This window comes from Homo sapiens, chromosome 17 (assembly GCF_000001405.40).
Source record: "Homo sapiens chromosome 17, GRCh38.p14 Primary Assembly".
Taxonomy (NCBI): domain Eukaryota; kingdom Metazoa; phylum Chordata; class Mammalia; order Primates; family Hominidae; genus Homo; species Homo sapiens.
In genome coordinates this window covers 29,882,237-29,908,675 of record NC_000017.11, presented here as the reverse complement: position 1 = coordinate 29,908,675, position 26,439 = coordinate 29,882,237, and the positions used below count along the sequence as shown (strand labels likewise).

The 26,439-nt window shown below is 38.0% G+C and overlaps 1 protein-coding gene and 1 non-coding gene across 10 annotated transcripts in view; one reads left to right on the top strand and one right to left on the bottom strand.

Annotated features, from left to right (window-relative positions):
• Positions 1–26,439, top strand: part of SSH2 (slingshot protein phosphatase 2) — a 304,291-nt gene that overhangs the window by 21,553 nt on the left and 256,299 nt on the right. The window lies entirely within an intron of this gene.
• LOC124904117 (small nucleolar RNA U13) lies at positions 25,567–25,670 on the bottom strand. Its single transcript, XR_007065996.1, has one exon. It is a non-coding gene; the product is annotated as a small nucleolar RNA U13 (small nucleolar RNA).

Below are 26,439 nucleotides of genomic sequence, written 5' to 3'. Positions count from 1 at the left end.
TCTCCTGCTTCAGCCTCCCGAGTAACTGGGATTACAGGTGCACATCACCATGCCCAGCTAATTTTTGTATTTTTAGTAGAGACGGGGTTCACCATGTTGGCCAGGCTGGTCTGGAACTCCTGACCTCAAGTGATCTGCCCACCTTGGCCTCCCAGTGTTCTGGGATTACAGGCATGAGCCACTGCGCCCAGCCAGAGAAACTTTTCTTTAAGAGACAGGGTCTTCCTCTGTTGCACAGGCTAGAGTGCAATGGCACAATCATGGCTCACTGTATACCGCAGCCTTGATCTCCTGGGCCCAAGTGATCCTCCTACGTCAGCCTCCTGAGTAGCAGGACTAAGACAGGTGTGTACCACCATACCTGACTAATTTATTTTTTATTTTTTTGGAGAGATGGGTTATCATTATGTTGCCCAGGCTGGTCTTGAACTCTTGGACTCAAGCAATCCTTCCACCTCAGCCTCCCAAAGTGCTATCATTACAGATGGATTACCTGGCCTTGGGGAAATGTTTAGTGAAAAATTTAGGGAAAGGATTATAAAGTAATTAAGGTTTTGTCAGGGTTGGGCACAGTGGCTCACGCCAAAATCCCAGCACTTTGGGAGGCCGAGGTGGGAAGATCACTTGAGGCCAGGAGTTCAAGACGAGCCTGGGCAACATAGTGAGACCTCATTTCTACAAAAAATAAAACAGCCAGGGTTGTGGCACATGCCCGTAGTCCCAGCTACTCATGAGGCTGAGGTGGGAGAATTGCTTGAGCCCAGGAGGTCAAGGCTGCAGTGAGCCATGATCACACCACTGAAACCCAGATCCTGGGTGACAGAGTGAGATCCTGTCTCAAAAAAAAAAAAAAAAAAGGTTTTGTCAGGGTTGATGCATTTTGACACTGACTGATTGGCAGTTTTATCTGGGAGAGAAGAATTAGAGTCTTTAAAAGTAAGAACACTTTTAAGGCCAGATATTGATGAAGAATAGCCAGTTTGGCTCTGGACTGAGTTTTTTCTTTCTTTATTTGGAAGATTTCAGTTAGTTAAGGAGCTCTAGGCCATGGGGCAATAAGACTCATTCTTTTAACAAACATAACAGAGCTTGTATATTCGAAAGACTGCTCTCTAGTGCCTAAGGAAAATAGACAATGTATTTTTTTTCTTTTTTTCCTTCAGCTTTTAAGTTCAGGGATACATGTGCAGGAATGTGCAGGTTTGTTACATAAGTAAACATGTACCATGATGGTTTGCCACACAGATCATCCCATTACCTAGGTATTAAGCCCAGCATACGTTAGCTATTCTTCCTGATGTTCTCCCTCCCCCCACTCCACCCCCAACAGGCCCCAGTGTGTGTACTTCCCCACCATGTGTCCCACATGTTCTCTCCCACTTATAAGAGAGAACGTGCAGTATTTTGTTTTCTGTTCCTGTGTGACTTTGCTGAAGATAATGGCTTCCAACTCCATCCATTTCCCTGCAAAAGATATGATCTCATTCCTTTTTATGACTGCATAGTATTCCATGGTATGTATGTACCACATTTTCTTTATCCAGTCTATCAATGATGGGCATTTAGATGGATTCCATGTCTTTGCTACTGTGGATAGTGCTGCAGTCAACATACGTGTGCATGTATCTTTATAACAGAATGACTTATATTCCTCTGGGTATATACCAGTAATGGGATTGCTGGGTTAAATTTTATTTCTGCCTCTAAGTCTTTGAGGAATTGCCACACTGTCTTCCACAATGGTTGAACTAATTTACACTCCCACCAGCAGTGTAAAAATGTTCCTTTTTCTCCACAACTTCACCAGCATCTGTTTTTTGACTTTTTAACAATAGCTATTCTGACTGGCATGAGATAGTTTCTCATTGTGGTTTTGATTTGCGTTTCTTTAATGATCAGTGATGTTGAGCTTTTTTTCATATGTTTATTGGCCGCATGTATGTCATCTTTTGAGAATTGTCTGTTTATGTCCTTTGCCCACTTTTTAAATGGGGTTGTTTGTTTGTTTTCTTTTAAATTTGTTTAAGTTTCTTGTAGACTCTGGATATTAACCTTTATCAGATGGATAGATTGCAAAAATGTTCTCCCATTTTATAGGTTGTCTGTTTGCTCTGATTATAGTTTATTTTGGAGTGCAGAAGCACTTTAATTTAGTTAGATCCCATTTGTCAGTTTTTGCTTGTGTTGCACTTGCTTTTGGCGTTTTTGTCATGAAATCTTTGTCCATGCCTATATCCTGAATGGTATTGCCTAGATTTTCTTCTAGGGTTTTTATAGTTTTGGGTTTTACATTTAAGTCTTTAATCCATCTTGAGTTAATTTTTGCATGTGGTGTAAGGAAGGGGTCCAATTTCAATTTCCTGCATATGGCTAGCCAGTTCTTCCAGCACCATTTATTAACTAGGAAGTCCTTTCCTCATTGCTTGTTTTTGTCAGGTTAAGTTCAGATGGTTGTGTTACGGGATCTTTGGGTGTCAATTTTTGGAAACCTCTGTGGCCAGTTATGCCTTTGCCTGAGTTCTTGTCCATCCAGGAAGAATGAGGTAGAATGAGGTATGCAGACAAATGAAGGGTGAAGAAGACGAAGAAGAGCTTTATTTAGGTTTACAACTGCTCAGAGGAGACCCGCAGTGGGTAGCTCCCCTCTGTAGGCAGGCAGGTCATCCATCGAGTGTTCAGCTCTCATCAGAGAGGAGGCCCTGGAGAGGGTAGTTCTTCTCTGCAGGCAGGTCATTTGGTGATCTCTGCAGGTCTCTGAAACTCTCAGCAGAGAGGGTAGCTCCTTTCTGCAGTTAGTCATCCAGTTCAGTTGTCTGCTCAGCTCTGGCTGAGCCCAGGGTTTTATGGGCCTCAGAGGTGAGGAAGTGCATGCAGATTGGCCCATGGGCAGTCCTGAGAAAGGCACCAGTTTCCACTCTGGTCCATGGGACTGGCAGCCCAGCCCCCAGCCCACAGGCCCTCCCTGGCCTGAGGGAGGGACCTTACCAGGGACCCGCCCCCTTCCACCTGGCACTCTGTCTGCCTCCCACTGCTGTTCAATGACACTCAGGCTCGCCTGACTTTGCTCCAAGATCTGAGCAGTTGTGGACAGCAGGGAGAAGCCAGGCAGCAGGGGCAGGCACATCTGGGTTGAGGAGTGGTGGCTCCTGCCTGCTCCCAGCTCCCCAAAAGCACAAGGAGGCTCAGACCTGCAGCTACAACTTGGGTGGCTGCAGCCTCACCCAGGAGAGCAGGGCTCCTGCTTGCGTCTTGGAGCATGCAGCCCCAGCCACACCTCCCTGCTGGGCAAGTGATGGCAGGCTGACTGGAGCAGTTGCCACCATCAGTCATGGGTGTGTGGTCTTATATCTGAGTTCTCTATTCTGTTCCATTGATCTATGTGTCTGTTCTTGTACAAGTGTTGTGCTGTTTTGGTTACTGTAGCCTTGTAGTATAGTTTGAAGTTGGGTAGTGTAATGCCTCAGCTTTGTTCTTTTTGCTTGGGATTGTCTTGGCTATTCAGGCTCTTTTTTGGTTCCATATAAATTTTAAAATAGATTTTCTAATTCTGTGAAGAATGTCAATGATAGTTTAGTGGGTGTAGCATTGAATCTATTAATTACTTTAAGTAATATGGCCATTTTAACGATATTGATTCTTCCTATCAGCATGGAATGCTTTTCCATTTGTTTCTGTCCTCTCTGATTTCTTTGAGCAGTGGTTTGTAGTTCTCCTTGAAGAGGTCCTTCACTTCCCTTGTTAGCTGTATTTCTAGGTATTTTATTCTTTTTTAGCAATTGTGAATGGGAGTTCATTCATGATTTGTCCCTGCTTGCCTGTTGTTGGTGTATAGAAATGCTAGCAATTTTTGCACATTAATTTTGTATCCTGAGACATTGCTGAAGTTGCTTATCAGCTTAAGATGCTTTGGGGCTGAGACAATGGGGTTTTCTAGACATATGATCATGTCATCTGTAAACAAAAGTAATTTGACTTCCTGTCTTCCTATTTGAATACCTGTTATTTCTTTCTCTTGCCTGATTGCCTTGGCCAGAACTTCCAATACTGTGTTGATAGGAGTGGTGAGAGAAGGCATTCTTGTCTTGTGCCGGTTTTCAAGGGGAATGCTTCCAGCTTTTACCCATTCAGTATGATATTGGCTGTGGATTTGTCATATATGGCTCTTATTATTTTGAGGTATGTTCCTTCAATACCTAGTTTATTGAGAGTTTTTAACCTGAAGGGATTTTGAATTTTATCAAAGGCCTTTTCTTCATCCATTGAGAAAATCATGTGGTTTTTGTCTTTAGTTCTGTTTATGTGATGAGTCGCATTTATTGATTCACATATGTTGAACCAACCTTGCATCCCAGGGATGAGGCCAGCTTGATCGTGGTGGATAAGCTTTTTGATGTGCTGCTGGATTCAGTTTGCCAGTATTTTATTAAGGATTTCTCCATCGATGTTCACCAAGGATATTGGCCCGAATTTTTCTTTTTTTGTTGTATGTCTGCCAGGTTTAGGTATCAGAATGGTGCTGGCCTCATAGAATGAATTAAGGAGGAGTCTTTCCTTTTCAATTTTTTGGAATAGTTTCAGTAGGAATGGTATTAGCTCTTCTTTGTACCTCTGGTAAATTCAGCTGTGAATCCATCTGGTCCTGGGCTTTTTTTTTGGTTGGTAGGCTATTTATTACTGCCTTAATTTCAGAACTCATTATTGGTCTATTCAGGGATTCATTTTCTTCCTGGTTCAGTCTCAGGAGGGTGTATGTTGGATAATGTATTTATGCAAATGATGCAACATTTGTTTAGCATCTTTGGAGCTCCTTTTTCTGGCATCGCCTTCAATTCTTTTAAATATTTCCAAGGGTAGCAAATCTTCCTTTGAAGGTAAATTTGATTTTTGGAAATAGCCAAAAATAACTTGTATCCATATTTGGTGAATATTAATTAATTAATCCCAAACATCTTAATTGAGTGTCTTGTACTTCAGCCCCTAGGGGAAAAAGAGCGAAATAATCAGTTCCTGCTTTCAGAGCTGTAGAGGAATGGTTGATACATAGCACTGGGGCAGATGGCACATCAAAAGACTAAGGGATTTATCAGGGAGATGCAGAACAGAGAAGGGGCTCTTGGCCATGGAGAATTATTCACAAAATTAATAATTTTAGTAAAGGAAAGGCAGTAAAAATAGGCTTGTCTATAAGTTAGTGAAATGATTTTTTTTTTTTTTGGTAAATCTTGAACTGGCTTAAACACAGTTTCCAAGCAGATATTCTGAAAATGCTTCAAGTTGTGGTATATCATAGAACTTCTCAAAATGACTATTTGAAGGGAACACTTTTAAAAATATATATTCTGTTGTGTTGGTTAAAAAGTATTCATTATTTTTAATTTATATATATATATTTTAAATATATTTTGAAATTATATTTTAAATATATAAATATATTTTTAATATATAAATATATATACACATATATGTGTGTGTATATATATATTTTTAAGTTGAGACAGAGTCTTGCTCTTTGCCCAGGCTGGAATGCAGTGGCACCATCTCGGCTCACTGCAGCCTCTACTTCTCGTGCTCAGGCAATTCTCCTGCTTCAGCCTTCTGGGTAGCTGGGACTACAGGCGCCCGGCACCATGCCCAGCTAATTTTTGTATTTTTAGTAGAGACGGGGTTTCACCATGTTGGCCAAGCTGGTCTTGAATTCCTGACCTCAAGTGATCTTCCCGCCTCGGCTTCCCAAAGTGTTCATATTACAGGTGTGAGCCACTGTGCCTGGACAGTTTATTATTTTATAGACTTAAATTGAATTCTATGTTTTTACCTTGAGATAGTCTCAAAAAGTATTCACCATGGAAAATTAATACAGAATTGGTCCATTTTTCCTACCTCTCCTAGATGCCTCTACGATGTCCTTTTTAAAAAATTTCTGAGCTAAAGAAGGCAAGGGTGTTCTTTCACAGCAAATATGGGGGTGAGGGAGGGGGGAAGAGGTACATTAATAGTAAAATTGAAGAATATTTTTAGCCAATTACTCTCAGAGACTGAGTAGTTAAAACTGGATACCTTTTTTTCCTAAAGATATTAAAGATGTTAAATGATAGAAACTGACCTCCAGAATGAAAAGACAAATTATTGGGGTTTTTTTTTTTAAGGGCAACAGAAAGTAGATGATAGGTAGGGTGAACTTATAATTTGCTATTCAAAAATTTTATTCCAGGATAATAATGGAATAAAAGGAATGCTAGTGATCATTTCACTGTGCAACAAGTGTTAACTAGAACGGGCAAACTGGGGTATATGGCTACCATAGTGATGGGGATTCTAGAAAACAATCTAAGGTGAACATTCATGGGGTTGCTATTTTAAAGTAGTTATGACACACTCATAACAAAGCTGCTTTTATGCATCTATATGAGTTGGTATTTTACTTTGCAATTGAGTAAAGAAGAGACCTTACAGCATATTAAATGTGAATTTTGGAAACTAATTTTTAAGTTTCATGTATCATATCTTTCAGAAAGTAGTGTACATTCATTGCCATTTCTGCCTTATTAGTTAAGGAATAGGCCAAGCTGCTATAAAAAAGAGAGCCCATGGCCAGACAGGGTGGTTTATGCCTGTAATCCCAACACTTTGGAAGGCCAAGGTAGGAGGATCCCTTGAGGCCAGGAGTTCAAGACCAGCCTGAGCAAGAGATAGGAGCCTCTGTCTCTACAAAAAAAAAATTAAAAATTAGCCAGGCATGGTGGCATGTGCCTATAGTCTTACTACTTGAGAGGCTGAGGTGAGAGGATCATTTGAGCCCAGGAGTTCAAAGCTGCATTGAGGTATGATCACATGCCATTGCGTTCCAGCCTAGGCGACACAGAAAGACACTGTCTCTTAACAAGGAAGGAAGGAAGGGAGGGAGGGAGAAAGAAAGGGAGGAAGGAAGGGAGAAAGGAAGGGAGAAAGAAAGAAAAGGAAGGAGGGAGGGAGGAAGGGAGTGGGGAAGGAAGGAAGGAGCCTCAGCACACTGAGACATATTAGTAAGATTAAAGTTCATTTCTCTCTCTTGTAGCAGTTTAGAGGAAGAACCATTTCTTGTTAATCAGAGGTCAAAGAACGTCTGTGAAATGGGATGGTTAGACTCAACAAACCTATATTGTATTCATGAGCATATATTGCTGGATTTTCCTGAATATTCTAATGTTTGCCTTTTTGACTACTTAGAATTTTTACTTAAAATTTAAGTATGCCCACATCCTGTTATACTGTGAGGCTTTGCAACAGAGGAATACAAAAACTTGTCACTTGTTTAGAAACAGGAATTTATCTTGATAGTGATTGAATTTTATCCTAATCTAACTCTTAAGTAAAAAATTTCATCTTACTGAGAGAGAAAACATTGTTTTTTTTTTATTATTATACTTTAAGTTTTAGGGTACAGGTGCACAACGTGCAGGTTTGTTACATATGTATACATATGCCATGTTGGTGTGCTGCACCCATTAACTCGTCATTTACATTAGGTATATCTCCTAATGCTATCCCTCTCCCCTCCCCCCAACCCACAACAGGCCCAGGTGTGTGATGTTTCCCTTCCTGTGTCCATGTGTTCTCATTGTTCAATTCCCACCTATGAGTGAGAACATGCGGTGTTTGGTTTTTTGTTCTTGCGATAGTTTGCTGAGAATGATGGTTTCCAGCTTCATCCATGTCCCTACAAAGGACATGAACTCATCATTTTTTATGGCTGCATAGTATTCCATGGTGTATATATGCCACATTTTCTTAATCTAGTCTCTCATTGTTGGACATTTGGGTTGGTTCCAAGTCTTTGCTTTTGTGAATAGTGCCGCAATGAACATACGTGTGCATGTGTCTTTATAGCAGCATGATTTATAGTCCTTTGGGTATACACCCAGTAATGGGATGGCTGGGTCAAATGGTATTTCTAGTTCTAGATCCCTGAGGAATCGCCACACTGACTTCCACAATGGTTGAACTAGTTTACAGTCCAACCAATAGCATAAAAGTGTTCCTATTTCTCCACATCCTCTCCAGCACCTGTTGTTTCCTGACTTTTTAATGATCATCATTCTAACTGGTGTGAGATGGTATCTCATTGTGGTTTTGATTTGCATTTCTCTGATGGCCAGTGATGATGAGCATTTTTTCATGTGTCTTTTGGCTGCATAAATGTCTTCTTTTGAGAAGTATCTGTTCATATCCTTCGCCCACTTGTTGATGGGGTTGTTTTTTTCTTGTAAATTTGTTTGAGTTCTTTGTAGATTCTGGATATTAGCCCTTTGTCAGATGAGTAGATTGCAAAAATTTTCTCCCATTCTGTAGGTTGCCTGTTCACTCTGATGGTAGTTTCTTTTGCTGTGCAGAAGCTCTTTAGTTTAATTAGATCCCATTTGTCTATTTTGGCTTTTGTTGCCATTGCTTTTGGTGTTTTAGACATAAATTCCTTGCCCATGCCTATGTCCTGAATGGTATTGCCTAGGTTTTCTTTGACGGTTTTTATGGTTTTAGGTCTAACATATAAGTATTTAATCCATCTTGAACTAATTTTTGTATAAGGTGTAAGGAAGGGATCCAGTTTCATCTTTCTACATATGGCTAGCCAGTTTTCCCAGCACCATTTATTAAATAGGGAATCCTTTCCCCATTGCTTGTTTTTCTCAGGTTTGTCAAAGATCAGATAGTTGTAGATATGTGGCATTATTTCTGAGGGCTCTGTTCTGTTCCATTGGTCTATATCTCTGTTTTGGTACCAGTACCATGCTGTTTTGGTTACTGTAGCCTTGTAGCATAGTTTGAAGTCAGGTAGCATGATGCCTCCAGCTTTGTTCTTTTGGCTTAGGATTGACTTGGCAATGTGGGCTCTTTTTTGGTTCCACATGAACTTTAAAGTAGATTTTTCCAATTCTGTGAAGAAAGTCATTGATAGCTTGATCAGGATGGCATTGAAAATCTATAAATTACCTTGGGCAGTATGGCCATTTTCACGATATTGATTCTTCCTACCCATGAGCATGGAATGTTCTTCCATTTGTTTGTATCCTCTTTTATTTCCTTAAGCAGTGGTTTGTGGTTCTCCTTGAAGAGGTCCTTCACATCCCTTGTAAGTTGGATTCCTAGGTATTTTATTCTCTTTGAAGCAATTGTGAATGGGAGTTCACTCATGATTTGGCTCTCTGTTTGTCTGTTATTGGTGTATAAGAATGCTTCTGATTTTTGCACATTGATTTTGTATCCTGAGACTTTGCTGAAGTTGCCTATCAGCTTAAGGAGATTTTGGGCTGAGACGATGGGGTTTTCTAGACATACAATCATGTCATCTGCAAACAGGGACAATTTGACTTCCTCTTTTCCTAATTGAATACCCTTTATTTCCTTCTTCTGCCTGATTGCCCTGGCCAGAACTTCCAACACTATGTTGAATAGGAGTGGTGAGAGAGGGCATCCCTGTCTTGTGCCAGTTTTCAAAGGGAATGCTTCCAGTTTTTGCCCATTCAGTATGATATTGGCTGTGGGTTTGTCATAGATAGCTCTTATTATTTTGAGATACGTCCCATCAATACCTAATTTATTGAGAGTTTTTAGCATGAAGGTTGTTGAATTTTGTCAAAGGCCTTTTCTGCATCTATTGAGATAATCGTGTGGTTTTTGTCGTTGGTTCTGTTTATATGCTGGATTATGTTTATTGATTTGCGTATGTTGAACCAGTCTTGCATCCCAGGGATGAAGCCCACTTGATCATGGTGGATAAGCTTTTTGATGTGCTGCTGGATTCAGTTTGCCAGTATTTTATTCAGGATTTTTGCATCAATGTTCATCAGGGATATTGGTTAAAATTCTCTTTTTTTGTTGTGTCTCTGCCCGGCTTTGGTATCAGGATGATGCTGGCCTCATAAAATGAGTTAGGGAGAATTCCCTCTTTTTCTATTGATTGGAATAGTTTCAGAAGGAATGGTACCAGCTCCTCCTTGTACCTCTGGTAGAATTTGGCTGTGAATCCATCTGGTCCTGGACTTTTTTTGGTTGGTAAGCTATTAATTATTGCCTCAATTTCAGAGCCTGTTATTGATCTATTCAGAGATTCAGCTTCTTCCTGGTGTAGTCTTGGGAGGGTGTATGTGTCGAGGAATTTATCCATTTCTTCTAGATTTTCAAGTTTATTTGCGTAGAGGTGTTTATAGTATTCTCTGATGGTAGTTTGTATTTCTGTGGGATCGGTGGTGATATCCCCTTTATCATTTTTTATTGTGTCTATTTGATTCTTCTCTCTTTTCTTCTTTATTAGTCTTGCTAGCGGTCTATCAATTTTGTTGATCTTTTCAAAAAACCAGCTCCTGGATTCATTGATTTTTTGAAGGGTTTTTTTGTGTCTCTATATCCTTCAGTTCTTCTCTGATCTTAGTTATTTCTTGCCTTCTGCTAGCTTTTGAATGTGATTGCTCTTGCTTCTCTAGTTCTTTTAATTGTGATGTTAGGGTGTCAATTTTAGATCTTTCCTGCTTTCTCTTGTGGGCATTTAGTGCTGTAAATTTCCCTCTACACACTGCTTTAAATATGTCCCAGAGATTCTGGTATGTTGTGTCTTTGTTCTCGTTGGTTTCAAAGAACATCTTTATTTCTGCCTTCATTTCATTATGTACCCAGTAGTCATACAGGAGCAGGTTGTTCAGTTTCCATGTAGTTGAGCGGTTTTGAGTGAGTTTCTTGATCCCGAGTTCCAGGTTGATTGCACTGTGGTCTGAGAGATAGTTTGTTATAATTTCTATTCTTTTACATTTGCTGAGGAGTGCTTTACTTCCAACTGTGTGGTCAATTTTGGAATAAGTGCAGTGTGGTGCTGAGAAGAGTGTATATTCTGATGATTTGGGGTGGAGAGTTCTGTAGATGTCTATTAGGTCCACTTGGTGCAGAGCTGAGTTCAATTCCTGGATATCCTTGTTAACCTTCTGTCTCATTGATCTGTCTAATGTTGACAGTGGGGTGTTAAAGTCTCCCATTATTATTGTGTGGAAGTCTAAGTCTCTTTGTAGGTCTCTAAGGACTTGCTTTATGAATCTGGGTGCTCCTGTATTGGGTGCATATATATTTAGGATAGTTAGCTCTTCTTGTTGAACTGATCCCTTTACCATTATGTAATGGCCTTGTCTCTTTTGATCTTTGTTGGTTTAAAGTCTGTTTTATCAGAGACTAGGATTGCAACCCCTGCCTTTTTTTGTTTTCCATTTGCTTGGTAGATCTTCCTCCATCCCTTTATTTTGAGTCCATGTGTGTCTCTGCATATGAGTTGGGTTTCCTGAATACAGCACACTGATGGGTCTTGACTCTTTATCCAATTTGCCAGTCTGTGTCTTTTAATTGGAGCATTTAGGCCATTTACGTTTAAGGTTAATGTTGTTATGTGTAAATTTGATCCTGTCATTATGATGTTAGCTGGTTATTTTGCTCGTTAGTTGATGAAGTTTCTTCCTAGCCTCGATGGTCTTTACAATTTGGCATGTTTTTGCAGTGGCTGGTACCGGTTGTTCCTTTCCATGTTTAGTGCTTCCTTCAGGAGCTCGTTTTATTTAGAGCTTGTTCTAATTCTTTTGTAACTACTTAAGTGAGTTATTTATTCCTCTTTGTTCTCATAGAAATTATATAAATATATATATACACACCCATATATGTATGTCTTTATAGCATTACAGTAGTATTTTTGTCACCCTATCACATTAGATTGAGGTCAGGAACCTTTCTTGTTCATTTTCGTACCCCCCTTAGTGTCTGGAATATGATAAATAGGTAATAAATAGATGTCAGTGAAGAACTGTTAATCTCATTTAATTACAGACTTACTCATTACTAAAATAAGACAGTTCTGGAGTTGATAATTTTACCTAAGCATAGTGGATGAATTGCTTGTATTTTGTAATATTAAATAGGTTGAGAATGAATATTTAAATGTGTAGGCTGCATTTTACATATGATACATAGAAAATTTAAAGGATAGGATTAGAATATCATGTAATTAAAATGAAATGAAAAAGACCAGCAATAAAGTGGGAATGGGATTGAATGGACCATATAGATAAAAGAATGTATAAAATACATTTTATAATGTATTTTATAAAATGCCAAAATATATTTAAAATAAAATATATTTTATAAAATACCAAAATCTACAGATGCCCAAGTGCCTGTTATAACATGGCATAGTATTTGCATATAAGCTATGCAATATTTTTATAAAATATATTTTATATATTTTATACATGAAATGTATATATAAAATACATTTTATACATGAAATGTGTATATAAAATACATTTTATACATGAAATGTGTATATAAAATACATTTTATACATGAAATGTGTATATAAAATACATTTTATACATGAAATGTGTATATAAAATACATTTTATACATGAAATGTGTATATAAAATACATTTTATACATGAAATGTGTATATAAAATACATTTTATACATGAAATGTGTATATAAAATACATTTTATACATGAAATGTGTATATAAAATACATTTTATACATGAAATGTGTATATAAAATACATTTTATACATGAAATGTGTATATAAAATACATTTTATACATGAAATGTGTATATAAAATACATTTTATACATGAAATGTGTATATAAAATACATTTTATACATGAAATGTGTATATAAAATACATTTTATACATGAAATGTGTATATAAAATACATTTTATACATGAAATGTGTATATAAAATACATTTTATACATGAAATGTGTATATAAAATACATTTTATACATGAAATGTGTATATAAAATACATTTTATACATGAAATGTGTATATAAAATACATTTTATACATGAAATGTGTATATAAAATACATTTTATACATGAAATGTGTATATAAAATACATTTTATACATGAAATGTGTATATAAAATACATTTTATATATGAAATGTGTATATAAAATATATTTTATATATTTCATATATAAAATGTGTATATAAAATATATTTTATATATTTCATATATAAAATGTGTATATAAAATATATTTTATATATTTCATATATAAAATGTATATATAAAATATATTTTATATATTTCATATATAAAATGTATATATAAAATATATTTTATATATTTCATATATAAAATGTATATATAAAATATATTTTATATATTTCATATATAAAATGTATATATAAAATATATTTTATATATTTCATATATAAAATGTATATATAAAATATATTTTATATATTTCATATATAAAATGTATATATAAAATATATTTTATATATTTCATATATAAAATGTATATATAAAATATATTTTATATATTTCATATATAAAATGTATATATAAAATATATTTTATATATTTCATATATAAAATGTATATATAAAATATATTTTATATATTTCATATATAAAATGTATATATAATGTATATATAAAATGTATTTATAAAATATATATAATATATAATATAATGTATATAAAATATATGTATAATGTATTTTATACATTCTGCGATCTATAAATAAAATAGAATGTATAAAATACATCTATCTATAAATAGAATATATGAAAACATGACAGCATAGCCATTTGTAGAAATACATGTGATTTTATGTGGTTGGAGTGGAGAGTCTATGTCAGAGAAGGGGCATGATGGGAGATGAGACTCAAGAGGCTAGATCATGAAGAGCCTTATGTGATAGCAGTTTGAATTTTGTCTTGAAAACCATGAGGAATATGGAAGAATTTAAGTATGATCAGATTTGCACATCTGAAGCTGTATTGGGGGGGCGGGGGTGGAGCTAGATGTACTTAGTTACTTAATTGGGGGAAGGTGGAAGGATGGTAATTGAGAAGGAAGGGTCTAGAATATGGCTTCAGTGTTCCAGATTTAGGCATCTAGGTAGATTGTGGTTCCATACCCTGAGGTAAAGAATACTGGGGCCAGTTTAAGTGGTGGGAGTGGGTGGTGAACATCTTGAGTTGGAGGTAAATAGTTAGTCCTTTGTAGCTGGAAGTTCTGCATCTGCAGATTCAACCAACTGTGGATTGAAACTATTTGGGAAAACCCCAATAAAAATAACAATACCATAATAAAAATAATACAAATTAAAAAATAGTATAACAGCTATTTACATAGTATTTACATCGAAGTAGGTATCGTAAGTAATCTAGAGATGATTTAAAGTGTACAGGAGCATGTGCATAGCTTATATGCAAATACTATGCCATGTTATAACAGGGACTTGGGCATCTGTGGATTTTGATATCTGTAGGGGTCCTGGAATCAATCCTCTGTGGATACCAAGAGATGACTATATACAAAACAAGCAAAGGAAAGTCCCAAGCTGAAGAGATACATGTGTTACTCAGCAAGGAGATCTAGGCTGGAGAAAGAAAAAATGATAGTGACCATTTATTGAGCCTTTGCATAAATATGTCAGGTACTGTGGCAGAAACTTTATATATGTCATTTAGTACTTAGGAATTATTATTATTCTCATTTTATAAATTAAGAAACCAAGATCCAAGCTTACACAGTAAGTGGCAGAGAAACTTATAGGCTCTAAAGCTGTACTGAAGCCATGAGGATATGAATGAGATCACTTATGGAGAACGTAACATGAGACAAGTGGAGAACTAAAAGGTGACTAAGGTGTGAGATGAGAGAAGCCTAAAGATAGACTTTTGGGGAATGGGACATTTGGGAGACTAATGAAGGAAAATCCTGCAAATAAGACTGAAAAAGAACATCAAGAGCAATGTTAACCCAAAATGTGTTTCCCAACTCAATTTGTTATTTAAGATAGTTCTTTAAAAGGGATGGAAGAATTTAATAGTCAAGAAATTTGGGAAAACATTGGAGAAACTCATCTTGTAGAGTCACAATACACCTCAGTATATTGAAGATCTGAGAAAATCTGTAGTAAAGAAAAATACTTAACTTTAATACCACATTTCCCAAAAGTATTTGATCATGTACCCTTGTCATAGTCTCATTCCTGCTACTATAACAAAATACCACAGAATGGGTAATTTATAAATAATAGAAATTTATTTCTCACAGTTCTGGAGGATGGGAAGTCCAAGACAAGGTGCCAGCAGATTCGGTGTCTGGGAAAAGCCTTCTTGCTGCATCCTCATGTAGAAGGAACAAATGTGGTGTCCTCATATAGCAAAAGGGGAAAACGGGTGAACAGTTATATGGCACTTCTTGTATAAGGTCATTAATTCCATTCACGAGAGCTCTATCCTCATGACTTACTTCCTGAAGGCCTGACCTCTTAATACTATCATGTTGGTGATTAAGTTTCAGCATATCAATTTTGGGGGGATGCATTCAGACTATAGCAATTCTCCCCCACCCCCCCTTTTTTTTTGCCTAAATTCCATTGACATTCCAGGACTAGGTACTCTAGTTAGGATGAAATTCTGGTGAGTGTGGCATCACAGACTCTAAGCAAAGAGGGAGTTTCAGGAAGGAAGTGTGCACTGTTGGGTCAGATGTATTGAGGAGGTGAAGAGAAGGAAGAGTAGAAAGTCCATTGACTTTGGCAGTTAGGATACTAGTGACTTTCGTAAGATCAACTTTGGTGGAGTGGGTGATCAGAAGACCAGTTGCAGCAGGTTAGAAGGTAAATTAGTGGTGAGGAAAGGAAAGTAGCAAGTAGAGACTGTTCTTTTAAAACCTAGTATCAAGGAAAGGAAGAGTAGCTAGAGGGAAATTTAGGGTGAGAGAAGGGCTCTTTTTGGTTATTTGGAAGAGATCTGAGAATATTTTTCTGCTGAGGGGAAGTGATCATTAGGAAAGAAAAGGGTACGGGAAGAGGGTAGGGAAGAGGGAATGATTCATGGAGCAAGTTTCTGGAGGAAATGGGAGGAGAGAGGTTCCAGAGGACAGAGAGAGAGAGATTTGGAAGGTTGGATAATATTACAGTGAGCTCTAGTACAGAAATGCCCTTAGGAACTTCTTTTCCTAGTAAGATTGTTATGTTTATTGTTTTTGTCTACTTTTTATTTTATTTTAATTTACAAAAAAAAAATTTAAGCTAGTCAGTCATGGTCGAGACAATGTTAATGAGCTTAACAGTGACCCACAACCTTCAGACCAACTTGGGTCTACTTTGTATAGCTTTACTGAATCTTCCTCTTCATTGTCACAGTGGTGGCTGTTGACATTCCCTACTGTCATTGTGCCTTCCTCTAGCAGCTTTTACTTTTACTTTGCTGTTTCCTATCTGCTTCCAACTAGAAAACCAGACTTTTCAGGAATTAAGAGTAAATAACCTGAAGGTCTAAAGAGCAACACCCTCATCCACACCAGGGAAGCAGTTTATAAACTTTGGGGCATCTTTTCTGCACTTAGAATTCCTTTTATAGGTGAGGTGGGGGTGGGGGCTGCTTTGGAAACTTTCAGATGTTTTTAATTTATATGTATTTACTATTTAAAATGTTTGCTATTAGCCAAATGCTGTGGCACATGTCTGTAGTCCCCAGCTACTTGGGAGACTATAAGGCAGGAGGATTGCTTGAGCCCAAGGAGGTCAAGGCCAACCTGGGCAACAGAACAAGACCTTGTCTCTTTTTAATAAAAAAAGAAAGAAAGAAAAGAAAGAAAAAAAAAAGAAAGTCGGCTATTACTTCATTTGTGCATTTTAGAATTTCTTTTGTAAATTCTAAAAGCCATTTTCCTAATTTTATAAAGCTTCTTTCTTAGTGGTAGATATCTTCAGCTATATATTGTTTATACAAAATCTCTTCAGTTTGAAGATGGGTTTTAACTAGAATCTGGAAAGCTAATGGGCTAGTCAGAACATAAGGTTCTGACTTATAACCATAAAATTGTGCAAGATTAAATATTCTTAGTGGTGTGGTCTGTACTGAGACCTTTTGATTTATAGTGGGTCACTATATAATGATGCGGTTCTGCTCTGTACTTTTTTAGCTAATTATGTTTCTTTTGTCTATAATTGAATAGCCCTTTTGGTCAAATGAGAAGTCTGGAAATTCTGCAATTACCTTTGGTCTGCTCTTCACCTGTCAGAAGTTTGAAGGCTATTTTGTTTTTTTTTTTCTATTACTATGACATAATATTCAACATTTTAGAATTTAGAATTTATTTAGGGCTCTTGAGCTGCTTGCTTGAGCCTGCTTTCACTCTATGGAGTGTACTTTCGTTTCAATAAATCTGTGCTTTTGTTGCTTCTTTCTTTCATTGCTTTGAAAAAAAAATTTATTTAGAAGTGAAGGCTAAATCTGATGGGTTTTGTCTAGATAACAGTGCAGAGAACTATTTGTAGCAAATGTGGTTGCTAACCACTTGCACTAGATTCATGTGGGAACTTAAGCATAGTAGATTTGTGGGTTTCATCTCTGTCCTACTCAGTCTCTCTTGAGATAGTCAGGACTGTGTGTTTTTTAACAGGCTCTTGGGTGATTCTGTTAAGTACTAACATATGAAAAGTACTGGTGCAGGGAATCCAGCCTGTGATTAGGCCTGATCCAGGCTGGTCCTTACACTGACTGTAGCAAAAGTGTCCATGGTTAGAACCCAAATCAGAGGAGTGTATGTTCAGGTGCTTCTCACAGGATGATCTTTTAAAGATTTTTTTCAGACCGGGCGTGGTGGCTCACACCTGTAATCCCAGCACTTTGGGAGGCTGAGGCAGGCAGATCACGAGGTCAAGAGATCAAGACCATCCTGGCCAACATGATGAAACCCCGTCTCTACTAAAAATACAAAAATTAGCTGGGTCTGGTGGCGTGTGCCTGTAGTCCCAGCTACTCGGGAGGCTGAGGCAGGAAAATCACTTGAACACAGGAGGCAGAGGTTGCAGTGAGCCGAGATCGCACCACAGCGCTCCAGCCTGGTGACAGAGCGAACAGCTTTAGTGAAATATAATTCAAATGCTATACAGTTAATACATTGGTTTTGGTATATTCACAGATATATGCACCCAACACCACAGTCAGTTTTTGAAAATTTTCATCACCTCAGAAAGAAACCCCTTTATCTATGACCACTCTATCCCACCCAACACCTCACCTCATCCTAAGCAAACACTAATCTCTGTCTCTATAACTTCCCTATTCTGGACTGGCCTATGAGTGGGATCATATGTTGTCTTTGTGATTGGCTTCTTTCAGTTAGCATAATGTTTTCAAGGCTTATCCATGTCATAGCCTGTGTTAGCACTTCATTCCTTTTTATGGCCAAATAATAATAGTGTTTTATCCTTTCATCCACCTAAATGATGACATTTAGGTTGTTTCTGTCTTTTGGCTATTATGAATGGTGCTGTACACATCTGTGTACAAGTTTCTGTATGGACATATGTTTTCATTTCTCTTGGGCATATACCTAGGAGTGGGATTGCTAGAGCATATGATAACTCTTTTTAACTGATGAACTGCCAGATTGTTTTCCACAGCAGCTGCACCATTTTACATTCCCACCAGCAGTGTATGAGGGCTCTGATTACTCCACATCCTCATCAACACTTGTTGTAACCTAACTTCAGATTCTAGCCATTCTTGTGAATATGAAGTATTATCTCATTGCAGTTTGGGTTTGCATTTCCCTAGTGGCTAATGATGTTGAACATCTTTTCATGTGCTCACTGGCCATTTGTGTATCTTCCTCACATGAGAAATATCTATTCAGATCTTTTGCCCATTTTTTATTTTTTTAATTAAAAAAATTTTTTAGAGACTGGGGTCTTGCTCTGTTTCCCAGGCTGGAGTGTAGTGAAACAATCACAGCTCACTGCAGCCTCACACTCCTGGGCTCAAGCCATCCTCCTGCCCCAGTCTTGGTGTCTGATCTCATACCTGGCTGGTTTTTTTTTTTTTTTTTTTTTTTTTTGGTAGAGATGGGGCCTCACTGTGTTGCCCAGGCTGGCCTTTGCTCATTTTTAAATTGGACTTTTTGTCTTTTTATTATTGAGTTGTAAGAGTTCTTTATGTATTCCAGATACAAGTCCCATGTCGGATATGTGATTTGCAAATATTTTATCCCATTCTCTGGGTTGTCTTTTTTCTTTCTTTATGGTGTACTCTGAAGCACAAAATTTTTAAATTTGGTGAAGTTCAGTGTACCTATTTTGTTGTTGTTGTTCATGCTTTTGGTGTCATAGCTAAGAATTCTTTGGCAAATCCTACATCATGAAGATTTACCCCTATGTTTTCTTCTGAGAGTTTTTTGGTTTTTTGTTTGTTTGTTTTGAGACAGTCTGTCTCTGTCACCCAGGCCGGAGTGCAGTGGCGCAATATCAGCTCACTGCAACCTCTGCCTCCCAGGTTCAAGCAATTCTTCTGCCTCAGCCTCCCAAGTAGCTAGGATTACAGGTGTGTGCCACCATGCCCAGCTAATTTTTGTATTTTAGTAGAGACGGGGTTTTACCATGTTGGCCAGGCTGGTTTCAAATTCCTGACCTCAAGTGATCCACCTGCCTTGGCCCCCCAAAGTGCTGGGATTACAAGTGTGAGCCCCCATGCCCAGACTCTTCTGACAGTTTTATGATTTTTCTCTTACATTTAGGCCTTTGATCCATTTTGAGTAAATTTTTGTATATGGTATTTGTTTGCATGTGGCTTTGCAGGTGTCTTAGCACCATTTTTTTTTAAGAAAACTAAACTCAAATTTTATATACAATGCCTTTAATTTTATTTTAAATTAGAAACATAGTAGTCTTTTTTTCTTTTCTTTCCTTTTTTTTTTTTTTTTTTTTTTTTTTGAGATAGTGTCTCACTCTTTCACCTAGGCTGGAGTGAAGTGGTGCACTATCATGGCTTCAACCCTCCGAGCTCAAGTGATCCTCCCACCTCAGCCTCCTGAGTAGCTGGTCTACAGGAGTGTGCCACCACGCCTGGCTTTTTTTTTTTTTTTAAGTTTTTTGTAGGGATGTGATTTTGCCATGTTACCCAGGCTGGTCTCACACTCCTGGCCTAAAGTGATCCTCCCACCTCAGCCTCTCAAAGGGCTGGGATTACAGGCATAGCCATTGCAGCTGGCTGTCACTTTCTTTATACTGACTTTTTCTACTGTTTGTATGGTTAAGGTTGCTGTTAATACTGTAGAAATATAAACCATCAAAATATTTGGTCTATAAAAATTACTAGGTTTTTGCTTTACACTTATACGGATTCCATCCCAGAGAGTTGTCCAGTTTCCAAGCTGTCCATGCTATGGCACTAAGTCTCATACATAAAACTCCAACTCTGCTTTCTTGGGATTTCAGTGGGAAAGAAATACACTGAATGCCTGATTCTCTCCAAATCTCTTTCCAACCATCCAATGGAACCATAAAGATTCCTCAGTCTTAGACTTCGTGATTTTAGGCTTTTTCTCACCACTATCTGTTAGTTTCCATGGTAGAGTCAAGTGCAGTCTCTGTCTCAGCATAGTTTCTTTCTGGGGGTAGGGTGGATGGGACAGGGTCTTACTCTTTCGGTCAGGCTGGAATGCAGTGGCATGATCATGGCTCACTGCAGCCTCAACCTTCTGGGCTCAAGTAATTCTCCTGCCTCAGCCTCCTGAGTAGCTGGGACTACAGGCATGTACCACTATGCCTGGCTAACTTTTAAATTTTTTTGTAGAAATGAGATCTCACTACATTGCCCAGGCTGGTCTCAAACTCCTGGGCTTAAGTGATCCTCCAGTATTGGCCTCCCAAAGTGCTGGGATTGCAGTCATGAGTTACCACGCCTGGCCTCAGCATAGTTTCTTTCATAATCTTCACATATACTAATCTGCAAAAACTATATTGTGTTCTGTAAGGTCATCTTAGTTTTTATAAAAGATAAGGAAATGTTTTCTTCACATTAAATTACATTAAAATAAGCTGAAAGCACTTATTTATTTTCTAAAATTAGTATTTAGTAATAGCATTCCCTAACCTGAACTGCAGAAGACCATTTAAAAGTAGCTCTGTTCCCTCTACTATGATGACCAGGTTTCTGCTCTTCAAAGAGAAAGAAATAAGAACAACCAACATTGGCTTACTCTGTGCTAGGCACTATTCTGAACTCTTTATCAATATGATCTGATTCAGTCCTGACAACCACCCTCTGAAGATGTGTACTATTACCATCCTCATTTTACAGATGAGGAAATAGAGGCACAGATAAGGGGTAGGACAGGATTAGAATCCAGGCAATCCGACTTCAGAGACCCTTGTCTTGAAAGCACGTACCAAAGATTGGCCTGCCTTACCCTTCTTGTCTTAAACTCCAGTCTTGAATTCCATGTCATTTTTGATGGGTCTAGGAAATAGGACCTAGGAAATACACCTAAAGTACTCTGTTTTGTTTTTGTTTATTCTTACTAAAGCTCAAGTTTATCCTCTATTGATCCTCACTAAATAATTTCGTAGTTATAATATCTAAGATGTACAAAAATTTCTATGCCTGCTCCAAGATTTTTTTTTATTGTGTTCTATGCTAATAGCTTGCTTTTATAACACTACTACTGATCTCAAGTATTAAGTTGTTAACAAAATATCCTCTATAGGCATATAATTAAATAAGATAGGTGGCCCCAAAGTAGTATAAGCTGCATGATGTTGAAGAAATTACATTGGCTCGATAGGAGAGCCATTCATCTGGCTTTGCTACCACTTAACTCTGGCTCTGGTCAATCTTTTCATCTTTCTAGTCCTGGTTTTCTTATCCGAGAAAAAAATCTTTAATCTCTAAGGTCCTGTCCAGCTTTAGCACTTAAGGATACCACATACTCTTGGTAAAGTGTCTTCAGAACTGTGTAATAGAAGTTGAAGGAGCGCTATAATTGGTGATTAACATTCAGCCCCTTGTTACTTATGCAACTTCTTCAGCAGGCTTGAATTTCTCCCCAGAAAATGGGTTATTTTCTATCACATCATCAGTCTGCAAATTTTTCAAACTTTTTTTTTTTTTTTTTTTGAGATGGAGTCTTTCTCTGTCGCCCAGGCTGGAGTGCAGTGGCATGATCTTGGCTCACTGCAACCTCCACCGCCTGGGTTCAAGCAATTCTCCTGTCTCAGCCTCCCGAGTAGTTGGGACTACAGGTGCACGCTACCATGCCTGACTAATTTTTGTATTTTTAGTAGAGACAGAGTTTCACCATATTGGTCAGGCTGGTCCCAAACTCCTGACCTCAGGTGGTCCATCCACCTCAGCCTCCCAAAGTGCTGGGATTACAGGTGTGAGCCACGACACCCGGCCATTTTCCAAACTTTTATGCGCTGCTTCTTCTTGAACACTTTGCCACTTAGAAATTTCTTCCACCAGATACCTAAATCATCTCTCTCAAGTTCAAAGTTCCACAGAACTCTATGGCAGGGGCAAAATGCCACCAGTCTCTTTGCTAAAACATAGCAAGAGTCACCTTTGCTCCAGTTCCCAAGTTCCTTATCTCCATCTGAGACCACCTCAGCCTGGACCTTATTGTCCATATCGCTATGAGCATTTTGGTCAAAGCCATTCAACAAGTCTCTAGGAAGTTACAAACTTTCCCATATCTTCCTGTCTTCTGAGCCCTCCAAGTTTCTAGGAAGTTCCAAACTTTCCCACATTTTTCTGTCTTCTTCCGGGTCCTCGAAACTGTTCCAACCTCTGCCTGCTACTCAGTTCCAAAGTTGCTTCCACATTTTCGGGTATCTTTATAGCAGTGCCCCACTACCTGGTACCTATTTACTGTATTAGTCTGTTCTCACGCTGCTAATAAAGACATACCTGAGACTGGGTAATTTATAAAGGAAAGAGTTTTAATGGACTCACAGTTCCACATGGCTGGGGAGGCCTCACAATCATGGTGGAAGAATAAGGAAGAGCAAAAGGACATCTTACATGGCGGCAGGCAAGAGAGCCATGTGCAGGGGAAATCCACTTTATAAAACCATCAGATCTCGTGAGACTTGCTATCACCAGAACAGCACAGGAAAAACCAGCCTCCATGATTCAATTACCTCCCACTGGCTCCCTCCCATCACATGTGGGAATTATGGGAGCTACAATTCAAGATGAGATTTAGGTGGGTACATACCCAAACCATATCAGTAAGCATTATTGATTAAATCATTGGTCATTGGTAACTGACTCAATCTCCACTCCTTCCCTGGTTATGTGATGGAGCTGAAAATTACAAGCTTCTAATCAAGGATTGGTGTTTCTGGTGACTAGCTCCCATCCTAAAGCTATCTAGGGGCCAGCCAAGAGACACTTCCTTAAAACTAAAGATGCTTCTATCACTCGTGTCACTCAGGAAATTCCAAGGGTTTTAGGAGCTCTGTGTCAGGAACTGGGGAAAAAGACCTGATTTTTTTTTTTTTTTTTTTTTTTATGATACAATAGCAAGAAACCCCAGTCTTTGGTTAATAAGAGTTAAAAGTTAGTACCTGCTTGATAGAAAAAAAGCATAATATGCAATAGGTTGCATAAGACTTGGTGAGAAGAAAGAGGAACAGCAAAAGCATGGAAGCCAGAGACACTTGGATAAGTGTAAATGAATTCAGTACTCTAGATAATAAAGCACGTGATGGGAGAAAAAGGGAGGTGCTAGATTAGAGAACTAAGTAGGCAAGAGCCAAGACCTTGGAGGCTTTTTATGCCTTGGTAAGAAATTTAAACTTAAACTTTAGCCCGTACTCAGGCTTTACATTGCATCAGAATAAGTTGAAAAATATGTAAAAATGCAGATTGACCCAGGAATATGCATCTTTACAAGCATCCACAGGTAACCCTGACACAAAAAATACTGCTTTTGGCAGTGAGGAACATAAAAGTTTTATGTAGAGATGTAAGGTCAGAGTTACAATTTAGAGTGGATTGTTGCAGTTGCCAAGTCCTGGAACTAACATAGACTCAAACTAAGGCAGTTGTGGTTGGGATAGACAGGATGAGATAGATTACAGAAATATATAAAAAGTGAAGTGGTAGAGGCCTGATGATGGATTATGAGGTGAAATAAAGATAGAAGACTGGTTAACTCTTGAAGACTTTGAGCTTGGTTGGGCTGAGTAGATGGCAGATGATATTAACAAAAGTACAAGAAGTAAAGCTTTAGTGGGAAGATGAGTTCAGTTGCGGACCAGCTGAGGTATGTAATCCTGTGGAATATGTTAGCAAACATGTTCCAATTAGGCAGTAAGATATCCAAGAAGACCAGTGATGAAAATATCCTAAAGTAATGTTTGTAGTCTCTTGAAGCTGTGAGAGAGATGACATCACTCAAGGAATGCCCATGGAGATAGATGCCAAGGACAGAACCCTGAAAGCCCCCATATGTAAGGGGTAAAAGTAGAAAAGGAGAATTTGACAGACTGAAAGGAGCAATCAGAAAGCAATTTGTGGAAGACCAGTAGAAAATAGTGTGCCAAAAGTTTTAGGAAGAAATCAATGGTCCAATTCTGTCAAATGCAACTGAGAAATTCGATAATACAAAGAAAAGTGTTATGAGTTGGTAGTGTGGAAGCCACCTGTGACTTTGGCTACAGTAGTTTCAGTGGAGAGGTGGGACAGAGAAGCCTGATTGAGGTAAGTTGAAGAGAAAATTGATCAAACAAATTGTGAATATAGGCCAGGTGTAGTGGCTCACACCTGTAATCCCAGCACTTGTGGAAGCCAAGGTGGGAGGATTGCTTGAGCCCAGGAGTTCGAGACCAGCCTGGGCAACATAGTAACCTCTCTCACTCATCATATATATATGTATGTAAAGAAACAGTAAAAATAGAGTATTCATTTTCACAAGAGTTCTCATGAATAGAAGGAGAAAAAGGATTATATCTAGATGGAGGAATGCAAGGTCAAATATTTTTCTTGTTTTTAAAGTATGCAGTAGACTTGAAAATGTTTCTGTGCTAAAGGAAATGAACCAAAGTAATGGCAGTGGGGAAAGAGATAGAAGATAAAAGTGAGACAGGAGATAATTGATAGGAACAGGTCTCAGGGGACTGGTCTAAGACACTAAATAAGGAGTTAGTCTGGAACAGGAGAAGTTAGGCTGTCCAGGAAGAGAATTAACTCATCCTCTGTGACTTAAATATCTATTTCCTGTTATGATTTAACCTTACTATACAGGATGACATTACCATTCTTTACTCCAGGAGAACTTATAAAGTGTATCCAATGTGCAGTTTTATCAATTCATCATGCATAGATAAAAATTTCTATTTATATACAGTATAACTTATATTTAGATATTATAGTATGTCATGTATAGTTAAGACTAATCTGTTGCCCTGACTACTATAGAGATTAGCAGAAACCTTTCTGAAACACGATAGGATAATGTGTCTTCTGATTCTTTTAAAATTCTTTCTTCTTTTTACAGCTGTTAAGCACATAGTGGGCACTCAATAAAATGACACCTAACATAGGATTTGGAAAATGTGTGAATTACAAAGATATAACCCAAAATATAAAAGGTACTCATTATTCAGAGTTTAAATTCTTTGAACTTACTAACTCTAAAAATTAATACCAGTTTTTAATAGAAGCCTTTTACCATACCAGAATTCAACTTGTCACTAAGCATAAGAGTTTTTTTTTTCTTTTTTCTTTTCTATTTTATTTCTTTTCACATCAGACAGGTAATGTGCTGATATTGTAACAAGGTTTAAGGGAGGCACATCTCACACAAAAGCATGAAAACCCAGTCACCATGCTTATGAATCACAAAAGGATTCTAGGCATAAGATTATGATTTGGCCATTAAGAAAAAAATTGGGCTGGGCATGGTGGCTCATGCCTTTAATAAAAACACTTTGAGAGGCTGAGGCGAGAGGATCGCTTGAGCCCAGGAGTTCAAGACCAGCCTGAGTAACATAGTGATACCCCGTCTCTACAGAAAAATTTTTAAAAAGAAAAAAATTGTCTTTGATGATAACTTGGTAGACTTCCAGCTGGGAGCATCTTTATTTTATTTATTTGTTATTTTTGAGATGGAGTTTTGCTCTGTTGCCCAGGCTAGAGTGCAGTGGTGCGATCTCAGCTCACTGCAACCTCCACCCCCCGGGTTCAAGCGATTCTCCTGCCTCAGTCTCCTGAGTAGCTGGGATTAGAGGTGCCCGCCACTGCGCCCAGCTAATTTTTGCAGTTTTAATAGAGACGAGGTTTCACCATTTTGGCCAGGCTGGTCTCGAACTCCTGACCTTGTGATCCACCTGCCTAGGCCTCCCCCAAAGTGCTGGGATTACAGGTGTGAGCCACTGCGCCCGGCCAGAGCATCTTTATTTAAAAGCATGTATTGTAAAGCTCCATGTGAGAATAGAATGCTACCTTGAGTATATAATGAGGTGCAGGGAAAAGTCCAGGCTACTATCTTAAGGCCAGTTATAAATCCTTGATGATTTCAAATTTGTTGGATTCTTTTGATGGTGATGATAGTGGGAGAAAGAAATATGCACATCAAAAGGGATTTACTAGAGAAAAGGCTGTGAGTTTTTGAAAGGTT